Genomic DNA, 13,305 nt, shown 5'->3' on the forward strand with positions numbered 1-13,305 from the left:
TTGGAAGTAAAGATTCTAATCATTGACTCTCTTTTGCTGTTATCTCTCTAAATAAAATGGACAACATAGGCTTTTTATGTTTTGCTATTTTTCCATTAAAAATTATAGATCTTATTACACCATATTTCTGCTGCAAATTAGCTTAATAGCAGTTAGCACAGTATATCATCGGTGTGGCCCAGCTGCTATTGTTTTTATTGCACTATTCCACTGCCTTGGGGTAATTACCTTTGAGACCTCAAATGCATTTTCATATGTAAAACTCATTCTTTCATGTTTAGTATTTTGAAGTATACAACCTCAGCATTTGTTTTATTTTCTCATATTTATTCATTCACAATGACCATTTCATAATTAGCTTTAGATGTTCTCATAGAAGTCTCAAGGAGCACATCCAAGGGCACGCAAATGCACTCTGTGTTTTTCAGAACCCAAGAGGTATTTAACACTTTGGCAGGAGTTTGGGGCTGTGTAGAAGCCGTGAGTGATGATTCTAGTTCCTGCCTTTGCATGCATTAACTGCTGGTCGCCTCTGAATAATTGGCTAAAAATATTGGTTAACACATCAAGTGAAAATGTATGTGGCAGTGCCTGTCTCCATCGTCCCAGGAGAACATCTGTCCACTTCCCAAATCCACTAAACAATTTGGCTCTGTCTGTGTGACTGGCAGCCGTTCCCAGTGAGGCCCTTTGCCACAAAGCAGGGACGGAGGAAGTTTGGGCTTGAGTTGTGTTGGCAGGTTTTGTTGAAACACTTGGAGAGTAATTTTACAAAATTTGCCCGCTGGTGATATTAGCCCTTTATTTTTGTGAAAGTCAAGAGGAAAAAAGAAATCACAACTCTTTCTGTGCATATAAATTGCTTTGGGAAATAACTCGTTGGGTATATTCAGGTTATTCTGTAAAAATGTGTTGAGCTTCTCCAAGCTGAAGGCTTGACCCCTACTCTCAAAATATTCAGTTTTTCACAGGGCCAGAAACATTAAAAAATACAATTTCTTATAGTGAACATGCAGACTATTCTGAGGGACAAAGGTATTGCATCTGCATGGAAAAAAAGAAAACTCAGAAAAAAAACAAACAAATTCAAAATGTCATAGTACAATTTAATTAAAAAGAAATTGAATCAAGGACAAATTGTTCAACTAGATTCAAGATTGCAAATCAATGCTAAAGCTTAGAATTTGCCATCTGAAGAGCCATTTTCTATTGTTTGGTTTATGTATCCAAGCTATATGTGGACATGCTGTCATAATGATCATGAGGGTGTTGGCCCCCTTTGAAGATATACGTACTATCAAGAATTGCCTGAATTGCTGGAATTAGCATAGGAATTTCAAAACATTCATCTCTAAAATCATCCACCTGCATTTTCTGCTAATACCAAAAACTTCTATATTACATATTTTCCTGCATCATTAATAGTTTATTTTGAACTTTGAAGTCACTGCATATTTAGGCTCTCTGAAGGAAGCAAGGAATGTGCAGATTACCAAAGAGGCTTTCCATCATCCCTGGCTGAAATATATAGTCATCAGCCCAAATCTCCTTGGTTTTCTAGACCTAACTCTGTTGTATCAGAAATTTCAAAAGATGATTTGATCTGTTTAACATAGATCTGGAGTTTCTGTTGGTGACATGGATTATCTGCTGGAACTTCCAACTTCATTAAGGGTTGATCATTTCTCTTGATGGAAATCAATTTCTGGTATTTATGTAGATAAGTAGTGGTTCAAAGCATCTCCAAATTAACAGGCTAGGAAGTCAGATAAAATTTAGAAGACTGCTATTCCTGTTATTTTAAAAGCTTAATGACTTTACAGGGGAAATGTTTGCACACAATTCTCCCATTTAGGATAAGATTTTGACAAGGATCCTGGATGAACTTAAAGGCACATAAACTTGAATCTGGATATATTTTTAAAAAATTGAATATGCAGGCCGGTCACGGTGGCTCACACCTGTAATCCCAGCACTTTGGGAGGCCGAGGTGGTGGATCACGAGGTCAGGAGATCGAGACCATGCTGGCTAACCTGGTGAAACCCCATCTCTACTAAAAGTACAAAAAATTAGCCGGCATGGTGGCACACACCTGTAGTCCCAGCTACTCAGGAGGCTGAGGTAGGAGAATCACTTGAATCCGGGAGGCAAAGGTTGCAGTGATCCGAGATCACGCCACTGCACTCCAGCCTGGGTGACAGAGAGACTCTGTCTCAGAAAAGCAAACAAACAAACAAACAAAAAGCCCAAAAACAAAACGGTATATGCATCTAAGAGTGGTTTATGCATGTATTAATATATAAATATATAATATGTTATATACATAAAAATAAATATAATCAGTCTCCTAATTTTCATATCTGCATCTGTTTTATTGGTGTTTTCATGCAACTGCACTTACTATAGTAATTTAGCACAAAGGAATGACATTAATCCCCTCACCACCTCACCAAGATCCTGTTCCACATATGCATCTTAAATTACGAAACCCTTTGGAAATGCATGTTTTCTCACTCTCTCTGCATTCCTATACAGTCACTCATGAGCCCCTTGTCATATATGTTCTACCCCTGCCACTTTTCTAGAACTGCTGCTTTGTAATGATAAAATATAGTTACAGTCTTAGACATCTCATCATTTGACCTCACTCCGATATTCCTTGTTGGAACCATTTCTTTCCTTCGTAAACTCACTTCTCTTTGAATCCTCATTGTTGATACCTCACTGTAAGTCTCCCCTTCGGTTCTATTTGAACTCGCTTTCCTTATCTTCTCTAAATTCTCTCCCTCTGAAATTGCATTCCAGTGTGTTATTTGACATCTTCCATATCGTCAGATCCCCATCGGCTTCTCTGCCAAGCAGACATCCTCTATTTCTAATGGATACTGATCATCCCCTCCTAAATGTCCCGAGGGCATCCTTAAGCAACATACCCCCAAATCAAGTTCATCCTTTTTTTTTTACACCCAGAATAGCTACTGTGACTAATCTCTATTTCCATGAATGTCATAAAAGATCTGTTATAAAAGATTGAACCCTGGGAGTTATCAATAGCTCCTCCTGTTCTCTTAGTCTACCCGGGTGACAGAGAGACAAGCTCTGGAAATGCTGCCATATCTCTGGAATATGTGCCACCCCTTTATCCCTTCTGCCTCAATCCAGTTCAGACAATTATTACCTCTTCTATGGATTATTCCAGCAACTTTATAATAGATCCTTTTCTATAAGCTATCCATTCTCCCAACTGTCCTAATTAACACTAATACTTTAACTCAGGGCAGCACAAATAATTAGAATCACTTCCACCAATCTCTAAACTATCTTCTAATCTCTGGACATAAGCATTTTCTAGTACTATCTTAAAATTTTCTCACACCCATGCTCTACATTTATGCTAAATTGAACTATTCATTGAACCTCAAAAATACGATCTGCCCTGTGTCTACTTTACTCATGCTGTTTGCTCCACTACATAAGTCATACGCCTTATCCTGCCCATCAAATATTACTCATCTTTCAAGGGTTAACTTACTTGCCACTTCTATTATAAAGCCTTTTAAATGTCCACAGTCTAATAGTGTGTAGTCATTTTTTGAAGTGCCTTGAGATTTAATATACTTGTGTTACAATCCTACCACATATTGGAGCTCAGTATATAAGTAAAGTTCATTATTTACTCAACTGCATTTGTATTCCTCAAATTTGAAACTTACATTATTCCATTTTGTATGGTTAGAAGTGCCTGGAACAAATGCCATTTGTTAAGTCATTATTAAGTGAAAGAGAAAAATGTCTGACACAAATAACTCAGTAACTACAATTTTGATAGTTATTTTCAGTTTTTAGTTATATACTAATAATTCTAGAGTTTTAAAATTTATGATTAACTTTTGAACTTAAAAAACCAAGTGTACTAATGTCATGATAAATGGAACAATTGTCTTAGATATGAGCCATTTCATTTAGACATTTAATTATGTCCTATTTCTCTGGCTAAATACATTGAAAGTTATAAGCTGTTCATGTAGAAGGCATGTAATAAATGTATAGGATAACAATATGGGCAATAGTCACCCTCCAGACTCTTAAAAATTCCCACCTGGCCGGGCGCCGTGGCTCACACCTGTAATCCCAGTACTTTGGGACGCCAAGGCGGGCGGATCATGAGGTCAGGAGATCGAGACCATCCTGGTTAACACGGTGAAACCCTGTCTCTACTAAAAATACAAAAAAATTAGCCTGTAATCCCAGCTACTCAGGAGGCTGAGGCAGGAGAATCGCTTGAACCTGGGAGGTGGAGGTTGCAGTGAGCCAAGATCGCCACTGCACTCCAACCTGAGTGACAGAGCAAACCTCAAAAAAAACAAAAAAAGTACCACCAACTCTTGGCCCAGATGGCTACACTTGTCCTTTCTGGAGACAAGATGGAATATTGGCTTGAATGGATCTTTAGGTTTTTTCTAAGCTCTAGAGTTCCATAGAAAAGTATTAATTGGGACAGACATGGTGGCTCACACCTGTAATCCCAGCAGTTTGGGAGGCTGAAGTGGGCAGATCAGCTGAGGTCAGGATTTCAAGACTAGCCTGGCTAACGTGGTGAAACCCTGTTTCTACTAAAAAATACAAAAAATTAGCCAGGAGCGGTGGCATGCACCTGTAATCCCAGGTACTCGGGAGGTTGAGGCAGGAGAATCGCTTGAACCTGGGAGGTGGAGGTTGCAGTGAGCCGAGATAGCGCCATTGCACTCCAGCTTGGGCAACAGGAACAAAACTCCGTCTCTATTAAAAAAAGAAGAAGAAAAAAAAAAGGGCCAGGCGTGGTGGCTCACCCCTGTAATCTGAGCACTTTGGGAGGCCAAGGCAGGCGGATCACCTGAAGTCAGGAAATGGAGACCATCCTCGGCAAGATGGTGAAACCTCGTCTCTACTAAATATACAAAAATTAGCTGGGTGTGGTGGTGCACACCTATAGTCCCAGCTACTCTGGAGGCTGAGGCAGGAGAATCGCTTGAACCTGAGAGGCCAAGGTTGCAGTGAGCTGAGATCGTGACATTGCACTTTAGCCTCCTGGAGACAGAGCGAGACTCCCTCCCTCACCACAAAAAAAAAAAAAAAAAAAAAAAAAATTAATTGGTGAAAACACATCACATTCCCTTTAAATTAAGTAAATTACTCATAATGAGAATGGAAATTGTTATTTAAACATTAAAATTTTATTCATTGTTGCGCATGTGAAAAAAACAGTAGCTAAACAATATACTTGCATGTCTAACATGTGGCCCACAGCATGCTAAAAATGTCTGGCCATTTTTTTACAAGTAAATTAAAAAATACTTGACAATATACTTTGATAAAAAATAAGACTCCATAACTATATTATTTCTCAAGAATGCAGTATACAATAATATACTGCATTCTTGAGAAATGCCAAGATAGTATATATTGAGTGCTCTTTCCACAAAAATAATATGTGGGATGATGCATTTGTTAGCTAGCTAGATTTCATCATTCATTTATACATATGCATCAGAAATTATGTTGTACATGACAAATACATATGTCAATTTAAAACATAAATTTGAAAAAAGTAGTTGGGGACATGACAAAAAGTAAACGTATGATTGAATTAGTGTTTCACTTTCAATTTATTTCTTTGATGTTATGAAGATACAGTCAAAAGCTGAGATATATTACCTACATTATATTGTGAATATGTTATATATTGCTGGAGACTGTCAAATAGAACCAGAGCCAGATGCTAGTTAAAGGCAGTAAATACAATAATATTTGTTCTGTGGCTGTTAGATGAAATGCTCTACCTTTGTCTCTTAGGTCCATTTGGTTTAAAGTAGGGTTCAAGTCCAGTGTTTCCTTATTGATTTTCTGTTTGGATGATCTATCTATTGTTGAAAGTAAGGTATTAAAGGCCACTACTATAACTGTATTCCTGTCTATCTTTCAGATATTTTAACATTTGCTTTATATATTGAGGTGCTCCAATGTTGGGTGCATATATACTTACAATTGTTACATATCCCTGATGAATTGACCCCTTTATCATTATATAATGAGTTTGTCTCTTTCTATAGTTTTAGACTTCAAGTATATTTTGTCTGATATAAGTGTAGTTACCCTAGCTTTCTTTTAGTTTCCATTTGCATGATTTTTTTTTATCCCTTCACTTTCAGTCTATGTTTGTTCTTCAAGCTGAGGTGGGTCTCTTTAAGCAGCATATAATTGAGTTTTATTTTATCCATTCAGCCACTTTATGTCTTTTGATTGAAAGATTTAATCCACTTACATTTATCTTGATTGTAGTAATCATTTCACAATTATATGTATATCAGAACACCATATTTTATACCTTGAATATGTACAATTTTATTTGTCAATTATACCTCAATAAAGCTGAAAAATACAATAAGTAAATAAATAAAGCAGTAAAGATATATTTTATTTAGTAACTCTTGTAAACAGAGAAAAGAGACATCAGTATAGAAGGAAGCTCAATTCTGAATACAACAGGAACAAGTAGGAATTTATAGCCAAGGAGCAGGGACTAGAGGGTGGTAGTGGTAAATGAAAAATTAGCGAGAGACTTCAAGGGTAGGATAATCTAACACAATCACATGGAATTTATTCCAGAAATGCAAGGATGTTTTAACATAAATAAATAAATCACATCAATAGAATAAAAAACAAATACCATATAATCATCTCAATAGACACAGAAAAAGCATATGAAAAAAGTCAGTATCATTTCATGATAAAAGTGCTCAAGAATTAGGCATAGAAAAAACACTCCTCAACATAATAAATGCCATATATAACAAACCCACAGCTAACATCACACAGAATGGGGAAAAGCCAAAAGCCTTTCCTCTAAGAACTGGAACAAGACAAGGATGCCCACTTTGAGCACTTGCATTCAGCATACACTGGAAGTTCTAGCCAGAGCAATTAAGCAAGAGAAAAAAATCCACATTGGAAAAGAAAAAGTCAAATTGTCCTTCTTTGTAAATAATATGAGCTTACAGATAGAAAAACCTAAAGTTTGCACTACAGAACTCTTAGAATTTATATACTACTGTATCTTGCAACAGTAAAATTGTGGGATAAAAAATCAACTTAAAAAATTATTAGTGTTTCTATTCACCAAAAATGGACTAACTGAACAAGGAATAAAGAAAATAATCCCATTTACAATAGCTACAAAAAATGTCTAAAATAGGTAAAAATAAATTTAATCAAAGATACAAAATAACACTATAACATAAACTACAAAACACTGATGAAAGAAATTGAATAGAACACAAACAAATGGAAAGACACACCAAATTCAGTGGAATAATTAATATTGTTAAAATGACCGTACTACCCAAAGCAATCTAAAATTCAATGCAATTCCTATCAAACTACCAACTACATTTTTCATGGAAATAGAAAAAGAAATAGTTCTAAAATTTATATGGGACTACAAAAAACTTGAATAGCTAAAGCAATACTGATCAAAAAGAACGAAACCAGAGGCATCCCACTACCTGCCTTCAAAATATATTAAAAAGCCACAGTCACCAAAAGAGCATGGTATTCCTATAAAAACAGACAATAGAGAATGAAACACAATAGAGAATCTAGAAAAAAACCACACATTTAGAGCCAGCTGATTTTTGAAAAGGTGCCAAAGCGTACATTAAATGGAGCTGGGAAAACTGAATATCCACATGCACAAGAATGAGACTGGACTCTCCTGTCTTTCACTATATAAAAAAATTAACCCAAAATGGATTAAAGACATGAATGTAAGCCCCCAAATTATGAAGCTACTAGAAGAAAACTCGGAAAGCATTTTAGAATATTAGCCTAGGCAAAGACTTTATAGTGAAGACATCAAAGCCATTGGCAAAAAGAAAAAGAGAGACAGAGAGAGAGAAATGGAACTATATTGTATGGAAAACCTTCTCTACAGCAAAGGAAACAATTAACAGAATGAAGAAACAACCTATTGAATGAGAGAAAATATTTGAAAATTATTCGTCCAACCAGGGACCACTATCCAGAATATACAATAAACTCAAACAACTAAACAGCAAAAAAAATGACAACAGGCAATTCCATTAAAAAAGAATTCTCAAAAGAGGACATACAAATGACCAACATACATGAAAAAATACTCAACAACACTAATAATCAGATGAATGCAAATCAAAACCATAATGAGATATCATCTTATCACAGTTAGAATGGCTATTATCAAAAAGACAAAGAAAATGTTGGCTAAGATGCAGAAAAAGAAAACTCTTAATACACTGTGAGAATATAAATTATTGCAGCCATTATGAAAAACAGTATGGAGGCCTCTCAAAAAACTAAAAATAGAACAACCATGCATTCCAGCAATCCTACAGTGGGTATTTATCCAGAGGAAAGGAAATCAGTATTTTAAAGGAATACCAGCCAGATGCAGTGGCTCATGCCTGTAATCCCAGCACTTTGGGAGGCTGAAGCAGGTGGATCACCTGAGGTCAGGAGTTTGGGACCAACCTGACCAATATGGTGAAGACCTGTCTGTACTAAAATACAAAAATTAGCTGGGCGAGGTGGTGTGCGCCTATAGTCCCAGCTACTCAGGAGGCTAAGACAGGAGAATTGCTTGAAATTGGGAGGCGGAGGTTGCAGTGAGTGAGTGAGATTGTGCCACTGCATTCCAGGCTGAGCAACAGAGTGAGACTCCATCTCAAAAAAAAAAAAAACAATAGTACATAAAGAAATAAAAGGAATATCTATAGGTCCATGTTTATTGCAGCACTATTCACAATAGCTAAGATATATCCATCCACAGATGAATGGATAAAGAAAATGTGGTGTAGATGCATAGTGGAATACTATTCTGCCATAAAAAATAATAAAATCCTGTTATTTGTGCAACATGGATGAGCCTAGAGGACAATATGTTAAGTGAAATAAGTCACGTACAGAAAGAAAAATACCTTATGTTCTCACTCATGTGGGAGCCAAAATGATTTTTTTAAGCTCATGGAAATAGAAAGTAGAATTCTAGTTATTAGAGGCTGGTAAGTGTAGGAGGGAAAGGAAGACAGAGAGAGGTTGATTAAGGGATACAAAATTATAGCTAGATAGAGAGAATGAGTTTTTGTGTTTTGCAGCACTGTAGCATGAATATGGTTAGCTATAATTTATTGTATACTTTCAAAAAGCTGGAGGAGGATTTTGAATGTTCACAACAACAAAGAAATGATGAAGGTTTGAGGCAAAACATATGCTAGTTACTGTGATTTGATTATTATATATTGTATGCACAGATCAAAATATCACTCTATCTCCCATAAATATGTAGAATTATTACTTGTCAACTAAAAAAGAAAAAGAAAAGCCAGAGGACAGTGCTACAGGACTCCTTTAGATGGTTGTTCCCTCTGAAGATAATCAGAGATGAGCATCATGCCTCCAAATTTTAAATGCCAGATCATGATATTTTATGAAGAAAAACAAAAGAAGCAATATATTTAGATAACATTTCACCTTTATTAGTTTTCTATTGTTGCTGGAGCAAATTACCACAAATTTAGCAGCATAAAACAACACAAATTTCTCATCCCAAGTTTTGTGTGTCAGAAGTCTGACCCAGGACTCACTAGGATCACATCAAGGTGTCATGAGGGCTACATTCTTTTCTGGGCATTCTAGGGGAGAATCTATTTATTTGTGTTTTCTAACTTTTTAGAGGCAGGGTTGGCTCATAGTCTACCTTCCTCCACCTTGAAAGCCAGAATTAATAATTGGAGTCTCAGGTTACCTTAGTCTAATTTACTTTGACCATCACATCTTTTTCTCTGATTCTTCTCCTTGCCTCTCTTTATCACTTTTGAGAACCTGGTAATTATATTGAGGACACTCAGATAATCCAGCTGATGAGCTGCTTTAATTATCTTTTGCCTTGTAATATAACATATTCTCAGACTGTTAGCATTAGGATTTGTATATCTTTTCAGGCCATTATTCTGCCTACCACCCAACAATTGGCACAGAATCTAAATGTATATAAGCATACACAAAATGCAATATGTAAAATTTAGAAATTATTTTTATAAGGAAAATGAACAAGACTTACATGTTTTCCCACAAAGAACTGCGTATCTCATTTGCTGTATTTCCTTATACACAGAAAAATAACTAAAAGTAACTAAAAGATAAGCCATCTCTCAGATCTGACAATCTCATGACAAAAAGCAATTCAGGAGAAAATGATATCTACTTCAAAAATGCAAAATACATTGCCGGGCATGGTGGCTCATGCCTGTAATCCCAGTACTTTTGGACACTGAGGCAGGCGGATCACTTGAGGTCAGGAGTTCGAGACCAGCCTGGCCAACATGGCGAAACCCCGTCTCTATTAAAAGTACAAAAATTAACTGGGCATGGTGGCACACACCTGTAATCCCAGCTACTTGGGAGGTTGAGGCAGGAGAATTGCTTGAACCCGGGAGGCAGAGGTTGCAGTGAGCCTGAGCTGAGATAGTGCCACTGCACTCCAGCCTGGGCAACAGAGACTCTGTCTCAACATATTCTGTACCTTGTATTGAAATGATTTGATATAATTGTAACATTTAATTACCGCAATCTTTTTTGTTTTCTGCTTCAACCCTAAATCCAGTTTAAGAAATCCACTAACTGATAGTTCTCATCTTTGAGGAAAGTTATTCTTGGCAATTTTTTTGCACTTTTCACATATGTAGGACCCACCCTCAGGTTAATCTCACATCAACCTGTCCATAAACTCTTGGGCCCATACCTTGTATTACAGGTAGCAATGTTCTGTGACTTGGTTTGAGCCTTCCAGTAGGAAACTCTCTGCTTTGCTTCTTCAGTGGAGATCCCTAACACTTCATAGCAAGCACTGCTTTGTCTTTGACTGAGGATGACAATGTCTACCTCAATTAAATGAAGTAATTCACTAAAAATGCTGAGGACAGAACATGTTATACAGAAAACATGTGATATGCGATGCTTATATTTAATATTCTTTTCTTCTTATTCCTCTTTGAACTCAGGGTGCACTTGTTATGTCTGGCATTTGACGCTCAACTTCGTCTGATCAACTTTATCTTGGACTGGCTCCTACCTTTTGCAGTTCTGAACTGCCTTGGTTGTTAGGGCCCTTGGGAACCCCAACTTTGGCATTCTTTTCTTGCCTCTTATCCCAGCTGGTTTATATTCCCCACCCTTTCTTCATGGGGCATGGGAGGATTCAGAACTATTTGGAGTTCAGCTGCTTCATAAACTACATAGCATTTCAATTTATTCAATTTTTTATGAATAATTTGTGGAGACAAAGGAAAGAAGGGCATTTGTATTACTTAGGGGGCTTAGGAGTGTCTGTGTTGCTGGCGGTTACATTGCATTCAGGGAGAGTCAGCTCTGCTCTGGTATGTCTGCCAGATCTGGACAAAAGATGCCTGTCATTCCCATCCAGACGAAAGAACATCAATATCAACAATAGGTGCAGATTTGGAGTTATCTGAAGCCAGGGCATTCTGTCTTTTCAGCCAAGTTTGAGGTGAACAGAGGGTGTCTACTATGCCAAACATGTGGGACACACAAGCATTCTTTACAAGTCCCATCTCCAACCTGCTGCAATCTGCCCTCAGTCTGAACTTTAGACCAGAGCTATGCAGAAGAGTTCCTGTGCAAGCTCCTGTTACACTTCTTGGCATCACCAGCCAAACACTGAGCATAGAGCAGTGGGCAATGTTCAGAGGCTTTTTCTAGGTTCCAAAGGGAAAGGTTTATGGTTAGGAGCACTTGATTCTCTCAAATCCTGATCCTGCCAATTAAAAAGAGGAGTGACCTCTGGAAAACTGCATGCCCCAGTTTTCTCCTCTGAAAAACAGAATTTTTTGGGTTGCTCCTTTTAGGATTGTTGTGAGGAATAAGTTACATAAGTCACGCAAAATACCTAGGACAGTTCCCAGCACATAGCGGGAGCCTCCTATATGGCAGCTGCCACTCCTTATTCAGTGAAAACCTTTGTGATCCTACTCGAAAGAATCCAGAGTTCCTTTGTCCAGACAAAATGGGTGGGAGTAAAGGGAGCTGCACAGTGTTTCTGGAGACCTCATTCTCTCTATGCTAGTTTCTTTCTTCAAATTACTATTTAGGCCTCAGTAGTCTTTCTTCACATGACCCCAAGAAATTATCTGAAATTCATTTGCACTATCATGAAACGATTACTAGAAACTTTAATCAGACCTCTACAAACTTTAAAGGGAAAAAATATTCTAATGGGAAATTCATGCATTCATTCATTTATCCATTCATCAAACCTGTCTTAACACCAACCCATAACCAGGCACCCTGCTAGGTACTCCCTGATATAGGAAAGATTAAGGTAAGTTCTTTTTAAGGTTCATGGGGATCTCATACCTATAACCAGAAATCTGTTTTAAGATGACTGCTACAATGACTTATTCATAAAAAAGCTTTAATTGTATAGAGACAGGAGGGCCTTCTTTTACTTCTAGGGAAAGAAAAAAAAATGATTTGAAGGGGAAAATTTATATATTCGAAGGAATATGAAATCAGATCATGTGGGTGGCCACTTACTTGCCTATGTGTTGTGCTTACGACTTCTGTTTATGTTAAGATTGACTTTGGGTCTGTTGTAGCTGGCAGGAGCACCAATACACATTATCCTCCAAATAGGTACAATCAATTGCAATGCTTTCTCAAGAATCGGGATATGTTTGAGATATAAAATGTGTTTTAAATTTGTAATTTAATAAATATTCCATAAGTGATGTCCTTGCATCTTTTGAATATAATTGTGATATTGGTATTATCATTTCCATTTTACAGATCAAGATTCTATGCAGTTAACTTTGTATCCAAGGATCTATAGCCAAGAAATTTGGAGCTCAGTTTCAAACGCAAGTATTCTGGGTCCAAATTTTCTGCCTTTTCCCTTAAAACAACTGAATTTTATTTTATTGGGAAACAGAAATACAGAATTCAAGAGTTATTAGATATTATAAAATCTAACACTCTAAGTTAACATACAAGGAGACATAGCGTTTCAATGACAAATGTCATACATAAAACTGCTTCATATCAGAGGCAGAAAGAGAGCTTGCTTTTCCTGTAGTTTCTGTAACACAGAGCTGTCCAGCTCATTCTATGTATGAAATTGATATATAATCAAGACAGATTTCCCATCCCATAAATTTTATGCCACTTGATTGTGTCTTTGTTATTTGTTAGCAGCAGTTTATGTGAGAGAATATTTT

General features: G+C 36.8%; 1 long non-coding RNA gene across 2 annotated transcripts in view; it reads left to right on the forward strand.

Moving 5' to 3' along the window:
- The window catches only part of LOC105374511 (uncharacterized), a 482,145-nt gene that overhangs the window by 65,253 nt on the left and 403,587 nt on the right, over positions 1-13,305 (forward strand). Inside the window, exon 2 of one of the 2 annotated variants that reach the window (NR_188379.1) lies at positions 12,878-12,948. The exons of the other annotated variant lie outside the window; for it this stretch is intronic. This is a non-coding gene — a long non-coding RNA (uncharacterized LOC105374511). The remainder of the gene's footprint in view (positions 1-12,877; positions 12,949-13,305) is intronic. 2 annotated transcript variants of the gene reach the window in all.

This window comes from Homo sapiens, chromosome 4 (assembly GCF_000001405.40).
Source record: "Homo sapiens chromosome 4, GRCh38.p14 Primary Assembly".
Lineage (NCBI taxonomy): Eukaryota > Metazoa > Chordata > Mammalia > Primates > Hominidae > Homo > Homo sapiens.